General features: G+C 37.9%; 1 protein-coding gene and 1 long non-coding RNA gene across 20 annotated transcripts in view; one reads left to right on the top strand and one right to left on the bottom strand.

The window, feature by feature from the left end:
* Positions 1-17,101, top strand: part of ENTPD1-AS1 (ENTPD1 antisense RNA 1) — a 337,030-nt gene that overhangs the window by 116,586 nt on the left and 203,343 nt on the right. The window lies entirely within an intron of this gene.
* Positions 1-17,101, bottom strand: part of CC2D2B (coiled-coil and C2 domain containing 2B) — a 126,075-nt gene that overhangs the window by 60,096 nt on the left and 48,878 nt on the right. For 18 of the 19 annotated variants that reach the window (XR_002956979.2, XR_002956978.2, XR_002956977.2 and 15 more), the window contains 5 exons: positions 11,681-11,821; positions 7,652-7,754; positions 7,348-7,460; positions 4,749-4,926; positions 1,434-1,584 (listed from right to left, as the gene is read on the bottom strand). Coding sequence is in view for 15 of the 19 variants with exons in the window: in XM_024447995.2 (XP_024303763.1) it covers positions 1,434-1,584; positions 4,749-4,926; positions 7,348-7,460; positions 7,652-7,754; positions 11,681-11,821 (686 nt within the window). In the remaining 4 variants the exon portion in view is untranslated. The remainder of the gene's footprint in view (positions 1-1,433; positions 1,585-4,748; positions 4,927-7,347; positions 7,461-7,651; positions 7,755-11,680; positions 11,822-17,101) is intronic. The other variant, XM_024448004.2, reaches the window with a different exon arrangement.

Raw genomic sequence — 17,101 nt, 5'->3', positions numbered from 1 at the left:
TGACCTGAGGTGATCCACCTGCCTGGGCCTCCCAAAGTGCTAGGATTACAGGTGTGAGCCACCACGCCCGGCCCTAACTCCACTCTTATCTTAGTGCTCTCCCTCATCTCCTCTCTAAGATCCTTCAAGGACTACAAAAGAGAAGGTAAAGATTGAGATGAATATGTAGAGATGAATATCATGATTTTCTTCCTTTCATGCCTGGAGGCTTCTTAACCATTCTCTGTGGGAGTGGCTTCCAGCAAGAAAGGACCATTGGCAGCAGAAAAAGAGGCCAGCAAGCTGTTCTTTCTCCTCTTTCCTTACATTCCCAAGTCTTCTGCATCTAATCTCCAAAGAGTTTAACAATACTTCTTAAAACTTTTGCTGAGTGCACAGTGTTCCCTAAATTTTTTGAGTCCTGAGTCTTTTGTCCCGGGTCTCCATAAGCTTATTTTTCTGCTTCATCTGGACTTGAAGCAAACTCCGTTCTTCCCTCGTTCTCTGCCCATTTCCCCCCGCCCCCTCCTCCTTGCTCACTTGTTCATACTTCCTTACTTTTCACCAAATAGGCCCAAGTAGTTTCCAAACCCCTAGGAAGGTGAAAGAAAGGAATAATGGGGAGAAGGAGAGGAATGACAGTGATCTCAGAGACGCACTAACTTACATTTAACCGTATAAGAGGAGTAAAATCAATTGAAAAACAACTAACAGAAACATCCCTTCTTTCTTCTCTCCTTTTCTCTGTCCCTCCCTCTTTCCTTCCCTCCCTCATTTTCTTCTTCCCTTCCCTATACAGTTCAAAGACAAACCCATATGTCTGCGAGCACCTGTAGGTTCACTAAAGGAGAGGTCGAGGCAGAGCAGCCAGCCCACTCAAAAGCAGAGCTTGCTTTCCAGACAGCATTCTGTCCTTGCCTTGGATGGCCTGCAAAAAGCGTGGGTGCTAACTGCTCATTTGAAATTTCCCAAAAATCTGACCCAAGACAAAACTTTAAACAATCTAGTTTAACATCTGAATGAATAATTTAATTCATTTTTAACAGAATAAACACAGGGCCAGGTGCGGTGGCTCACGCCTGTAATCCCAGCACTTTGGGAGGCTGAGGGGGGCGGATCACCTGAGATCAGGAGTTTGAGACCAGCCTGGTTAAAATGGTGAAACCCTGTCTCTACTAAAAATACAAAAATTAGATGGGCGTGGTGGCAGGGATCTGTAATCCCAGCTACTGGAGGCACGAGAATTGCTTGAACCTGGGAGGTGGAGGTTGCAGTGAGCTGAGATCGAGCCACTGCACTTCATCCTGGGTGAGATTCTGTCTCAAACAAACAAACAAACAAAAAAGAATATTGTAAATACAGGATTTTGTACTTATGTGAGTGAGCCAGGGTCACTTAGGAATATGGTACTCAGGAAGAAAATAGGGGGAATGTAATATTTTTAATAAACTCACTGCTTCCTACTTCTCCATCGGCAGGCATGACCAGCTTATCAGAGCTAAACTCTACATATTGCAAAGCGGTTTTGCCTTTCAGCTCTGTGTAGTTAGGTAAAGGTATATATAGTTTTGCCAGTAAGCTTGTCCTTTTACTTTTTTCATAAACCTAAATATAAAAGAAATGGCTGATAGATCACTAAAAATACAACACAGAAAAAGGAAAAAATAAGCACCCTTAACAACATATATTTTTTTAAATACCAGAATATAAAATAAGTATTGCTCTATAGCATTTCATCCACATGATTATGAGAAAAGCAGCCAGTCATGTCCTTGAAAGTGTAATGCCTTTTACTGGCTCCATAGAAAATGAATTGAATACAAGGGATTATGAATACAGTTCTGAGAATAAATATATGAGGTACATATAACATAATATCATAGCAATTTTGAGTAGCACTTTAAAAATTCTTTATCTCATGTAAATCTGATAAAAATTATAGGAAATAAATATTATTCTCATTTTATAAGTGAGGAAATGGAAGCTGTATATGAAAATATGTTTGTTTTTATTATAAGTGGTTGAGACTCAGGTTGAATTGCTTAGGAAAAAGGTAGTGATTGGTCATGAAATTCAAGGATGAGTTAAACAAGCTATGGGAGTGGTGAGGGAGGAAAAGCTCCAGAAGAAAGGAAAAGGGGGTGCTGAGTAGACAGTCCCATAGAGGTTCACTGGGCATGAAACCCAGGTCTTCTAATTCTATATGGTGTGTTTTTTACTACAATTCCATATAAGTTTACTGCCATAACTATAACTTTTTTCTTTCTTTTTTTTTTTTTTTTGAGGTTGAGTCTTGCTCTGTTGCCCAGGCTGGATTGTAGTGGTGCAATCACTGCTCACTGCAACCTCCGCCTCCTGGGTTCAAGCAATTCTCCTGCCTCAGCCTCCCAAGTACCAGGGATTACAGGTGCCCACCACCACACCTGGCTAATTTTTGTATTTTTAGTAGAGACGGGATTTCATCATTTTGGCCGGGCTGAACTCGAACTCCTGACCTCAGGTGATCTGCCTGCCTTGGCCTCCCAAAGTGCTAGGATTACAGGTGTGAGCCACTGCACCCAGTCTAAGCAAACTTTTTTCAATAAAAAATCTTATTTTGACTTATACTGTGTTGTCAGTGCTTGGGAAAACAGTGATATGAGCTCTAAGAAGGAAATCAGAGGGGAAAATTGCTCCTTGAAAGATAAGAAAGAATGTGCCAATCAAAGTGATGACTTATTAGCCAAGAAAGCAAAGAAAAAGGAAAGTCAAAGAGGCACATATTTTTTCTAGTTATCTGGTTTTACTTCCTTGTAAGAGAGAATTTAAGACACCACACTGGTCCCTTTGACAAAGGCATCCCTACTGCAGAAAGGTTTGTAGGAGTTGTAGCTCTGTGAAATAACTTTCTTATTGTAAATCAGTAAATGGGTTAACTTTCAGAGAACATGAACTGATAAATATATTCAAATGTTGAGTTGGCATTTACACTTCAGCCTTGTGAATTTGCTTAGGGTATGTAGGATGGATTCTCAGTGGACTGTCAAACCCAGGTTCTTGGACTACAGGCTGGAGGCCAGCCCCTGGACAGCAAGGTAAGTGTACTGAGATAGAGAATTTTATCAGTTGAGGGTTCCTAGGAGCCAGTCTTGTCCCCTGACAACTGTCAACACCATGATGCGATGAGATTGAGCATCTTAAAAGTGGTCAGAATGAAAATGGGCGTTTTTAAACGGAGCAGCTAACATGTACAAAAGCTTAGAGGTAGGAAATTACAAGCACGTGTGGGAAAAGACAAGCAGCTCAGTTTGGCTGAAGTGATGAATGAATAAGGAGGAGTAGTAAGAAATGAACTAAAGGCGGGGCATGTTGGTTCATGCCTGCAATCCCAGCACTTTGGGAGGCTGAGGCAGGCAGATCACTTGAGGTCAGGAGTTCGAGACCAGCCTGGCCGACATGGTGAAATCCTGTCTCTACTAAAGACACAAAAATTAGCGGGGCATGGTGGTGGGCATCTGTATCCCAGCTACTTGGCAGGCTGAGGAAGGAGAATTGGTTGAACCCAGGAAGTGGAGGTTGTGGTGGCTGGGATCACACCACTGCACTCCAGCCTGGGCAACAGGGTGAGACTTCATCTTAGAAAAAAAAAAAAAAAGAATTAAAAATGTAGGTTAAAGTCTGTTAGGCTAGGGCATATCGATTTATTTTGCAATTTTTGCATTTGCTAATGGTGAATTTATCTCTTAACTAGATTCCTCTCCCTCCCTGCCTCTTAGTTTGTTAGGCTCATATGCTAAGTGATAGGATGATAAAGGACTCAAAATACACATTTACCTATTTGGGGAGGCAGATTTTAAACTTCAAGTGATTGGATTATTATATCACAATTTACTTTAGGGACAACAGTAAGAAAGTATAGTTCTTTTTTTTTTGTATTAGGAATTCAGTGTGGAAAGTAGGCATATTTTTAATGTAGGAATTTCAACAGAGGGACATTGTAAGAGAGTGGAAACCTGAATACATGAATAATGAATAGAACATCTATCAGGAGAGAATAAAATTATTCTCGACATTATAAAAATAATTGTGATTTATATATGTAACTACAATTCTCTCCCTACTCCTCAAGCACCTCCCTTCTTACACACAAATCTTTATTCCCTCCTAATTTTTTTTTCAAGTCTAGCTTTAAGTTTAACCCCATTTTTAGCCACCAGGACTTCTTGTCTAGACTCGTTTGTTGTCTCTCATTTTTCTCCATCATCCTATTTTCTTCTTCCATTAGTGTGGGGGTTCTTACAGTGGGATCTTTGCACAGAGACTGGGGGTCTTTTGTGTGTATGTTCTTTCATCTGATTCTTAGAGGGATCTAAAAATCCAAAAAAGGAGGAAGAACAAATACAGCAAGAGACTGAAGCCACCAAGTCAGGAATGTGGAAGTTCGTATTATAGAAATCATTCAACACTTAAAATAGCTATGCTACTCATTATCCTGTAAACAGCACTTTTCCACCTCATTGCAATGAATAGTAGTGCTGCACATCCAGGGGTGCAGAAATTTTAGCAGGAGACGAGTATTTGGAACACTACAAATCAAATAACTTTGTACTTACAGCATAAAAGACTAGTGGTGAATTATACATTTATAAATATCTTATCATCTACACATAAAGATCAGTCCATCTCTTAACATCAAAGAAATTACTTATCACATATAACTGTAGCTAACAAAAAATTTTAAATTATGTATGGCATAAAATAAGATACAAAAGTAAATGACAATGGCATACCTCCAAACAAATCACTTCAGGCCAATACATTAACTGAATATTGAAAATTTGCTGAAACATGACTTTAAAATCAAACTGTAGGGGAGATACTGAAGTACAAGAAACCTGTTTATTGTTGTAAAATATTTTAATAAAGTATTTGAGCTTCTGAATTTTGGCTCTTCTTTTTTGTTCATGCCTAAAAATTAAACAAACCTTTAAATCACCCTTAAAAAGTACAACAGACATAACATATTGTTCTTTCAAAATGTATATTAGCATGTTAAACAGAAGATAATTTCAGAGGACAAATGTTATCTTTACATCAAATAACACTTGTCTACATGTGGATAAAAGTTTCTTCTTCCCAGTCAAATGTTTTTAATGAAAGAGATGTACTCAAAATATGTATTCAAAAATAGAACTAAAATCAAGGTCCTATAAATCATTCAGCTCTTATTTTACTAAATTACAATTTAAAGAGATTACAGCACATATCTACCAGATGTCTTATGAGAGGAAAAAACTGAGGGGCTTGGGAATGGGGAGGGGAGGTTGAATCAAGAATTTAAAAATATTTCCTAACTTTAAAAAGACACACACATAGACTATATACACAAACACACAACCCTCCACACACCATGTTGTCAATAACTTCAAAGATGTGGCTCTAAGGCAACAGGCTTGCTGTGTCCTCTTAAAGGTCTTTGTAAATCACCTTAAGCTTTAGGCTGTGTACCCCTTTTCTCCAGGACAGTGGGGAGGCCACCCTATCTCTGAACCCAAAGATCAAAGGAGCAAGCCAGGTTACTTCCCTGGGGGAAACACTTGTTGAGGCATAAGTTGATCCCTTGACTGATATAAAACTCCTAGAGTCTTTCATTCGTTGTTTAATTCACTCAACCAATGTTTATTGAATATTTTCCTAGTGGCAAGAGAACTGATCTAATGATGTTTAAGACTTGACCCTCTTTCTCAGAAGGGAGAAGGCTGGGTGGAAGATAAACCCTAAGTTGAAACATAAAATCCCCTTCTGCTCCCCAATCTAATCACCCTATGGGCCCAGTATGTCCCTGCCTTATTATCTGTCCATCTCTGTAACCTTCTCAAAGAGTTAGGGGACAAAAGATTACCTATTCTTATCTCCCTGTTGGCCTCTTTCGACCATATTCCCAATTACCTTTCAAGAAATATCTAAGTAAAAGTTACCCTTTCTGTTGCCCTCTAAAAGTATTGATTTTAAAAATTTGAATTTGATTTTAAAAGTTTGTTGAATTGATTTTAAAAATTTGTTTATTCAGGGTTATAATTATCTTCAGGAAATCTTGCCTTTCTCTTCACCTGTAAACTCTTTTTAATTTTTCTCTAATCTCTGTATTCTTTTCACTTCTATCCTCTATATCGACATATTATTCTTTTCTGGAGAATGAGTTTTTATTCTACTGGGTGTGTTAAATAGATGACAGCAATGCTATCGGATGGCAATGGCTTTGCAAAGATATAAAACACCATACATCCTTTTGCCTTGACTTCCACTAAGTTTTAGTCTAGGTTTTCCAGCACAAATATCTTCTTCCTCCTCTTTCTTCTCTCTCCCTCCAACTTTCATTTTATGGCTCCTGTATTCTTCCCCTTGTTTAGATAGTCTTTTTATATGGGTGTCCTACATAATAAAGTATCTCAGGCCCTTTTTGGAAGAAGGTACAGAACAAATAAAGGATTTCTCCACTGCTGCACTTCTCTGGTCAGAAAGTGGGTGGTGATAATTGTGACTTTGTGTCTGCTGCCCTTTTGGTTGTTAATGTAAGCATCCATTCACTCATTTAATATATATAAACATTTATTGATTACCCAGTATTTTCCAACACTGCTAAATGATGCACATTCCCAATACTCAATGATGGACTGGTACCAAGTGTGCCATGGGATAGAGATGTTGAAAAATTAGACCTAGTACTCTAAGTTGCCATATCCTCTTTAAGGGAGATGGGATCCATAGGCCTAGTAGATGGAGAAATGGGGTTACCTATGATGTCTGTTTTTGCATAATGTTCTAGGCATAGAGAGAAAACATTACAGCTCAAGGAAGAAATCACAACTGTGAAGTAAAGAAGTTTGTAATGTCAAAGAAGAAAATTGTTTAGGGGGCCCTCTTGATGTGAAATAGTTTTTATGAGAGCCAGAGTTCCTTTAACAAGCAAAGACAATGGTATATTACTTTTTACAGTGCCTTTATATCTCACCTATTTATACCTGAACGAAAATTACTAACATAGCAAAACAAAACAAAAAAACCCTGCAAATTATCAATATATGAAGACTAGCAGTGAAGATATCACAGTTTCTATAGAACACCAAACTGGTTTATGTCCCACCTCAGGCATGTATTAGATGTGTGAACCTGGGCAATTTAACTTCCCATGAGCTACATTCCTTCTTTAAGATGAGGATAATATGGAACTCTATAGAGTTATGGTGACAATTAAATATGAAAATGTGTTTTTAAAAACTTAGAGTGCCTGGCATATGGTACTCACCCAAGAAATCCCACTTTATTATTAAAAACAATCCAATTAATAGACAATATATAATAAATAAATAATTATTTAAACATGCTTACAAGGAACACTTGGATAAGCTTGTTAATTCTGCAGTGAAAGAAAGTTGTGGCCTCAAGGTAATTGGCTTTATTCTTTCAATTTCTGTTTCGTCTGAAGCTAGATATGAGAGGCTCTAGAAATCAAAAAATAAATATATGATTTGCCATGTACATCCCTGTGTAGGACATTTATTCTTAAAATTCATTTATTTCTTGTATTTGTCAGTTTGTTGGATAACTTTTAGAAATACCAAGATTTCACATTCTATCAAAAAATAAAATATTATAACTAGTTGAGTTTAATGTTATTTTGCAATATAAATACCTCCAGTTTTTTCCCATTCTTAAGTTCTTTTCCTTCATTTTTCTTCTCAGTTTCAGACATTTCTGAGATTTGCTCTTGTTCATCACATTTATTCATTTTAATCCTAATTAATAATAAACAGAATTATTGAAAGCAGAAATAATGGAGGTATTTGAGAGTTGTTCGAGATTTTGCCAACACACACACACACACACACACACACACACACACACAAAACCAATCTCTTACAAGTAATTTTACATTCTAAGGAAATTACCAATTTGATAAATATTTAAAAAACTTTATAAGCTTGTTCTCGGCTTTCAGATATTTCTCCCTACTCAGTAAATTTACCATTAGTGTTTACAGCCCTTTCTAAGGGCATCAAGAAACCTTTCCTCTGGTGAGAATAAGTAACAGGGGAATGGGGAGATAAATATTCAAGGACACATACCCTGTTTCCTCTCATTTTTCTTTCTCTCATATTTTTTAAGCTGTGAGAACCTGAGCAGGTATAAGGGCAGGTGATCATGGTGATATTAAGTAGTAAATCATAGTTGGTGTTTATGCATAAACAGTAAACAATTCATGGCATTAGCACTATTGCCACTGCTGCTGCTACTACTACTACTATTACTACTACTACTAGCTAATCCTTATATAGTACTTACTAAGTATGTGCCAGGCAATAGTGTAAGTACTTTACACGTATTGACTGATTTAATTATCACAACCCTATGAAGTAAGTACTATTATTCCTCTTTTATTAGTAGTTCAATAAAATCTCAGTTATCTGAACAGTGTCAGAAAATTATTGATGTAGGAGTCAAGTTTTTCTGATAGTGTAAAAATTTCTTGTTTTCAGTATAAGGTTTTGTTTTCCATTTTAATCATTTAAGAAGGAAATCCTTTGGTAAAATATTACATGCTCTGTTGGGAATGTAAAATGGTGCAGCTGTTTTGGCAAACAGTCTGGCAGTTCCTCAAAAATGTTAACTACAGAGTTACCATATGACCCAGCAATTCCACTCATATACCCAAAAGAAAGAAAAGCCTATGTCTGCATATGTGAGGAGTGACTGCTAATGGGAAGATGGTTTCTTTAGGAGGTGACAAAAACATCCTAAGATTAAATTGCGGTGATTGTTGCACAATTCTGGGAATTTATTAAAAACCACTGAACTGGAGACTTTGAATGGGTGAACCATATGGTATGTGAATTATATCTCAAGAGAGCTGTTTAAAAGGTATTATATGCTTTTTGCCTTCTGAAATAGAATATAGGGGACTAAGTGCAGATATTATCTATATGGTAGTATCTTGGGCTGAAAACCCAGCCCCATTAATGGCACTGCAGAATCTGGGTAAATTCCTTAAGAACTCTATGCCTCACTTTTCTCATCTGAAAATTAGGTTGTTGTGAGGATTAAATGCACTAATTTAAGTAAAGTGCTCAGCCCAGGACTTGGAGTAAAACAAACACTTAATAAATATTATTATTATTTTCTTCGGATTCAGGGCAATCAATACGACATCAGTAAACTTGCTGTTCTTTAATACAATGGCTTTTAACCTTTGTTACATATTAAAATCACCAGGGAAGCATTTTAAAACTCATGATGTCCAGACCATACCCCATACTAATTAAATTAGAACAGTCATTTTTAGAAATTCCTAACTGATTTCAATCTATAATAATTTGGGGAATAAGTGTTACGAGTAACTTAGACAATAGGTGTTATACCCAGATTTTCTTCTGAGGGAAACTATTGAAGCAGGGTCTATAGCTTCCTCCTTTCTATTCTGAGCCAAATGACTCTGGGAAATGATGAAGGTCCTGATGCTATTTTATCAAATGTTGTTGCATTTCCTGCTTACATAGCTTGCACTTTCTTTCTCATTTTAAGTTTCTTTGGCAGTTATCTGAATCTTCTCCAGGTAGGCAGTGCCAAACAGAGAGCACAAGTGAAGACAATATAAGAAATCTGGATTCTCTGTGTTATTTGCCAGTGCTGTAGTTTGGGTTCAGGGGCAGAAGAAAATACAATCTATCATCTATAGCGACTGACCCACCCAGTCTCTCTAAGCTGAATGCAGTGTTGCTAACAGTTAACAAGGAGAGTTTGCCACCTGAACGAGAAGACAGGGCTATCTCCTCAACTTCCTGTTACCTCATTTCTGCCGCTGTAACTTTATAAAACTTGCTCTAGCTGAGATTATCAATAACCTCCATGTCAGGAAATCCAGTGAACATTTTTAGTAGTGAACTTCACTGATAATAACTGCTAACCACTTCCTTCTACTTAAAATACTCCTGTTTCCTTGCCTCTGGGGCAAAATACTCTAACGGGTGCTTCTCTGTCCCTCCTCTGGTTTCTCCTCCTCTACCATGCCATTCAAAGCAATTTCTCAAGACTCAGTGCTTGGGGTCTCTCCTCATCTTATTCTCTGCCTTCTCCCTAGGCAGTTTCATGCACACCCATGGCTTCAATTATGCTTATTTACTGTGTCACAGACCATGCACGTAGCTGCCCACTCAATTACCTTATTTAGAGATATCTCAAAGGCATATCAACTTCAACATGCCCCAAACCAAATACATGACGAAATGATAACCTGAGCTCAGTGTCTAGGTACCAGGCCTTCTTATCATGAGTACTATCTTTCCAGGAAGCCTAGCTACAAGTTTATTCAGTTAGGGCTCACAAGGACCAGGTATGTTGTGAGGTCAATAGTGGTAAAGTTGGCCAGGAAACAGTTCCGAGGAACATCTTCAAACAGATAGCTTCTCCAATTGATCAGAATGATATTTTTAACTGCTTAAACTAAATGCCCCAATTTAGGGTCACTGGGGCTACCCCAGCTGGGGCCAGCCTGGTGACTGACAGTGTGGTATTTAGCTGAGAGGCAGTCTGGAGAGACAAATTGAAGCCAAAGTCAGCTGGAAAAGTTGAATGTCAGGAAGAACAAACACAAAGGGCCTCAGGTGGGGCTGGAGTTCAGAATAGTGGCAACAAGAGTTAGTGGTGAGCAGGCAATATGGGTCCAGAGCCATTGTTCTGGGTAACCCTACGACATCTGTGTCTCCTCTTTGTTGCTCAGGGATTCATGATGCATGGGTGTGTGAGGTTGGTTTAAAGGATTAGAAGCAAGTCATTACATTTACATTAATTTAGGAGTCTAAGATAAAGTTCAATGCTGGGTTTAGGTTTAGAAACCGTCCAGAGCACTTTTGTTAAAAAAAAAAAAAAAAAAACTACTGCAGCAAGAAAAAAAAATCAACAAAATAAACATTTTTCTTATTTGCCTGAAATTATACTAACCTTTCATACTTTTGAAAACCAAAAGACCCAGGACAATGGGTTGTGGGGAGAAAATTAGTTATTTCCCTGTGAGTTCACAAACAGCTTAAGTGTTTGGGTTTGAATTATTTCCTCCATAAGACATGGTTTTATGATTTTATCAAATAATCTAAAATGCGTTTCATCTAAAGTATGATTGCTGGCTCCACATTTAACTTTATAAGAATGTGCCAAACTGTTTCCAAAGTGGCTGTACCATTTTGCATTCCCATCAGCAATGAATAAGTTTCTATTGCTCAGCATCCTTTCCAGCATTTGTTAATGTCTTGTCTTTTCTTTCCTTTAGTTTTGGATTTTAGCCATTCTAATAGGTGTGTAGCACTGTTTCTTTCTGGTTTTAATTTGCATTTCTCTATTGACAAATCAATAGAGAATGACATGACAATATTGAGCATCTTTTCATGTGTTCATTTCCCATCCATACACATTCTTGAGTGAAGTGTCTGTTCAAATCATTTCCCCATGTTTAATTGGGTTTTCTTAAGTTGTAAGAATTCCACTTTATATATTCAACATATATATGCATATATATATATATATATGTTTATGTATTTAAGATACAAATTCTTTGTTGACTACATGGAATAGTTGCCTAGCTTCTGGATGTCTTCCTAGTCACTGTGAATTTCCAGTTATTCATGAGAAGTTCCTCAGGAGACCAATAAGAGCAAATAGAGCAGCCACTTACCTCTGAACCTGTAACTTTATTGGGGTGCTTGTAAACCCTTGCCCATGTCGAAGAGATTTAATCTGTTTCCAAGTTCGTAATATACTGTGTAGTAGGGAGAGGTCCTTTCCCCTTTCTAAGTCATACATCTGTTTTGTATTACTACAACAAAAATGGCAGAGCAAAAATTTGTCAGTGGATTAGAACTAAAAGCCTTCAAAAGTGGCATGGAAGAATGTATTGCAATAACTCTTCTGAACTCCCTCCCCACCTTATTCTTTTCATTTTATACACATCTGAACGCCATCTTACTATATTTTATGTTACCCACTGCAATTCCATTAGAAATTTGTTCCTTTATGACTTAATGGCTTTTCACTATTCAAAAGTGCCCTGCTAAAATGCAAATGCTTCTGAGAAAGGAAATAGCCTAGCTAGAATTCTACGAGATTTTTTTTTCTTTTTTGAGAGAGTCTCGCTCTGTTGCCCAGGCTGGAGTGCTATGGCACGATCTCAGCTCACTGCAACCTCCATCTCCCGGGTTCAAGTGATTCTCCTGCCTCAGTCTCCCAAGTAGCTGGGACCATAGGCATGTGCCACCATGCCTGGCTAATTGTTATATTTTAGTAGAGATGGGGTTTTACCATGTTGGGCACACTGGTCTCAAACTTCTGACCTCAAGCGATCTGCCTGCCTCAGCCTCCTAAAGCACTGGGGTTATAAGCGTAAGCCACTGAGCCCTGCCAGAACGCTACAAGATTCTGAAGTACCAAAGAGAGAAGAGCAATGGTGGAAGAAAGGAGCAATAAAAGAAAGGGAGTGGAAAGCCCCTACGTTTTGATAATTGTGCTTGCTATCTATTCAGGATTTAGTTAATTTCTGGTTGGCACTTCACTATTTACAAAAAAGAAGATGCAAACCAGCTGCTGCATGTCCCTTCCAATACTTTGGTGCAGTATGATGCTCCCACAACTTTTATTTTGCCACCTAAGTTCTATTTGGACGGTTCCAAAGCCACTGGTGAGGGATTGGCTTAGATTAAGGATGCCAAAATCTCAAGAGGTCTTGATGGGAAAGGATGGTGGTAGCCTAGCACCATAGAGTTTGAGTCACTCTAAGAAAGTGCTGGGGAGGGATTCTTACTTAAAGTGCATGAAGATAGAAAATATGCATTTCAAGGCTGAGCATGGTGGTGCATGCCTATAATCTCAGCATTTTAGAGGCCAAGGTGGGGTGGATCACTTGACCCCAGAAGTTGAAGACCAGCCTGGGCAACATGGTGAAACCCTGTCTCTACAAAAGTTACAAAAACTAGCCAAGCATGATGGTGCACACTTGTAGTCCCAGCTACTCAGGAGACTGAGGTGGGAGGACCACTTGAGACTAGAAGGTTGAGACTGCAGTGAGCCGTGATTGTGCCACTGAGCTCCAGGCCAGGCAACAGAGGGAGACCTTGTCTCAAAAAAAAAGAAAATATGTATTTCAAAACTCAGTTTATATCACTTCCTCAGTACAGCCTTGCTTGAAAACCCCCACAACAAAATTAAATTTTCTTATATCTCTTCATGCTTTTCCTTTTAAATATTCATCACACTTGTAATAAGTCATTCAATGTCTCTTTCCCTGTGTGATTTCAAGGTTCAGGGTACTTCAGGATAACAGGTGTATATTGTAAATGTTACCAACATTTTTTGTAAGCCTCCATTACCTCCCAATCCACTCACATAGCTGAAGTGTGAAACAAGAATACTTAAAGGAGTGTGGTCATTTTGAGTAAATGCCATAAGAAGTGTGATGCAGTAGAAAGGATAGCAAGATACTTGGAGTCAGACAAGCCCAGTGTTAACTGTGGTTCTCCAACTTACTTAAGAAAACTGCTTAAGTGTTCTGGGTCTTCACATGCTCAATTTTTCTTCAACCTCCTGACACCTATTTGAATGAAGTACCTCTAAACTGAAAGCAATGGATCAAATTATTAATCAGAAAATAATAAAATAAATACACTATTCTCCATATATTTCCAGATTTTCTGGAAATTGTATAATGTATTTATTACACTTTTTTCAGGTTAACAATTAGAATATTGCTTCAAATTTAGAGGTACTTTGCCTAATAGGCTAATAATCATATTTTTAGAATACTGAAGTAACATACTGTTTTAAAAAAGTTTCTTCTGTGTTTCATAACTTTGCAAACACATTATATTAGTATGTTAAATTACACTAATCAACACATTGTATTAGTATGTTAAGTTACACTAATTAATTTCTAATGTTGAACCATCCTTGCATTCCTTGGATTATTCCAAATTGGAATAATCCAAATTTGGTTATAATGTATGGAATAACCAAATTTGGTTATAATGTATTATTTGATAAAATTCTGTTTAGTACATTAGTATCTATGCTCATGAGTGAAATTCAGTTGCAATATTTTGATACAGTTGCCAGGTTTTAATTTCAAGGATACTGTAACCTCATTAAACGAGCTGAAAATGTAGCCTCTTTTTCTTTTATTTGAAAGAGTTTGTGAAGAATAGTAGTTATCATTAAATAAGAGGTTGTGAAACTTTTTTGTGCATCAGAATCACCTGGAGGGCTTGCTAAACACAGATTACCAGGCCCTACCTGTAGAGTTCCCGATTCAGTGGTCTGTGGTAGACCTGATAATGTGCATTTCTAACAAACTCCCAGGTGAAGGTGATGATGCTGGTCTGGGGACCATACTTTGAGACCCACTGCTTTAAACGTTCTAGAAAGTACTCTAGTCATCTGAGCCTGGAGTTTTCTTTGCAGAAAGGTTTCAAATTAATGGTTTGATTTCTTTAACAATTATTGAATTACTTAAGGTTTTTTTTCTTGTCTTTCACTTCTTGAATATGTTTGATTAGTTGTATTTTGTGTAGATTTGTCTTTTCCATATAAATGTTTACATTCTTTAGCATAAAGTTATTTAAAATATACAGCATCTATAGTAATGTTCCTTTTCCTTTCCTGACATTGTATATTTGTGCTGTCTCACTTTTTCCACTTGATCAGCTTTCCCAGAGTTTATCAATTTTTATCCAACTTTTGAGTGTACTGATTTTCTCTATTATGGTTTTATTATTAATTTCTGTTTATCTCTTTGTTATTTCATTCCTCTTACCCTTTATCCTAATTTCTTTTCTTTCTCTCTATCTTCTCCTTTTGAATCTCCTCCACTGAATATGTTGGTCCACTTAATGGTGTTCCACAGGTCTCTTAGGCTCTGTTTGTGTTTCTTCAATATTTTTTTCTTTCTGTTGCTCAAATTCAATGATTTACATTGTCCTATCTACAAGATCACTAATTCTTTCTTCTGCCTGCTGTAATCTGCCTTTGAATCTCTCTAGTGACTTTTTCATTTCAATTATACTTTTCAGCTTCATTCTCTTTTTCAATTTTCTATCTCTTTATTGTTACTTCCATTTTGTTTATATGTGGTTTATTTAATTAATTAATTAATTTATTTATTTACTGAGACAGAGTCTCACTCTGTCACCCAGGCTGGAATGCAGTGGCACAATCTCAGCTCACTGCAAGCTCTGCCTCCCAGGTTCAAGCAATTCTCCCACCTTAGCCTCCAGAGTAGCTGGGACTACAGGTGCACACCATGACACTTGGCTAATTTTTGTATTTTTAGTACAGTTGGGGTTTCACCATGTTAACTACGCTAGTCTTGAACTCCTGGCCTCAAGAAATCTGCTCACCTCAGCCTCTCAAAGTGCTGGGATTACAGGCTTGGAGCCAACACGCCCGGCCTATTTTGTTTATGCATGGTTTAACGTACGGTTTTCTTGACTTTCTTGACATCTTTCTTTAGTTCTTTGAGCATCTTTATGACAGTTGTTTTCAAGTCTTTATCTGGTAGATCTGCCATTGAGTAGGTCTTTATCTAGTAGGTTTTTTTTTTTGGCATAGTTTCTGTTGATTTATTCTTTTCCTTTGAGTTGGCCATACTTTCCTGTTTCTTTGTACACCTTTGTGTTTTTTTGTTGTTGAAAACTGGACATTTGAATCTAATAATGTGGTAACTCTAGAAATCACATTGTCCTCCTTTCCCAGGGCTTTCTGTTTTTTGTTATTGTTATTTTTTTTTTTTTAAATCATGGCCAGGTGTGGTGGCTCACACCTGTAATCCCAGGAATTTGGGAGGCCAAGGCAGGTGGATCACCTGAGGTCAGGAGTTCGAGACCAGCCTGGCTAATATGGTGAACCCCCATCTCTACTAAAAATACAAAAATTAGCCAGGCGTGGTGGCACACACCTGTAGTCCCAGCTACTCAGGAGGCTGAGGCAGGAGAATTGCTTGAACCTGGGAAGTGAAGGTCGCAGTGAGCCGAGATTGTGTCACTGCACTCTAGCCTGGATGACAGAGCAAGACTCTGTCTCAAAAAAAAAAAAAAAAAAAAAAAAATCATTGTCAGCTGTCTCTGTGCCCAGGATCAGGCTGAGGTATAAACATAAGGTCCTCTCCAGTCTTTTCTGAGTTGATGCCTTTCCCTGGGTATGTGTGGTCACTTTCTAATTTTCCCTGTATATGCAGTTGCTTTTAAATGTCGTAGTCTTTAATATCTGGCTCCCAAAAGAGGAAAAAGAAACAATGAAGGGGAGGGGAAGGGGCACCAGCCTTTTAAATCCTCTGGAAGTCACTTTATCCAGAGATAGAGGGGCTTGCAACAATGGGGAAAAGTACAACAATAATGGTCCCCTTCTCATTGCACCTCTGTGGTTAGAAGTAAGCAGTGATCAGAGCACAGGTCCTCAATATTTGTAGGATAAGGTCCTTTTTGCTTACCTTGGGCTCCTGAAAAATGTGTGTGGATTACTCCAGGAACAGGTACACAGCTGCCTGCCATGGGGCTGAGGGGCAGGGGTGGGGGGATAGCTGCTACTGTGCTAAGAGCTGACATTGACCAAAATTAACCCCAATTTACCACCCAAGCCTTCCTCTGGATGCTGCAAGCCTTCAATAGACTCCAGAGTTCCAAAATATAGGCTTTTCATATCCATGAGTTCTGCATCTATAGATTAACCAATCTCAGATTTAAAACATTTTTTAAAAAGCCAATAAAAATAACAATACAAGAGTAAAAAATAATGTGAATAAACAAATACAGTAGAACAACTATGTACATAGCATTTACATTGTAGTGGGTATTATAAATAATCTAGAAGCAATTTAAAGTATATGAGAGGATGTGCATAAGTTATATGCAAATACTATGTCATTTTATACAAGGGACTTGAACATCCATGAATTTTGGTATGTGTAGGAGGTTCTGGAACCAATCCCTTGCAGATACTGAGGGACAACTGCAGTTACATCAGACAGGTTCTCTGCTAGTACAACTGTTGTCTGGGTGGGCAGATTAATTCCTAGTGCTTCTTCTTCTTCCATCTTCCTAGAAACTCCTTCCAC

The sequence above is a fragment of the Homo sapiens genome, chromosome 10 (genome assembly GCF_000001405.40).
Source record: "Homo sapiens chromosome 10, GRCh38.p14 Primary Assembly".
In the NCBI taxonomy this organism is placed as follows: Eukaryota; Metazoa; Chordata; class Mammalia; order Primates; family Hominidae; genus Homo; species Homo sapiens.
The sequence above is the reverse complement of the archived record's forward strand: the minus strand, read 5'-3'. Positions and strand labels throughout refer to the sequence as shown.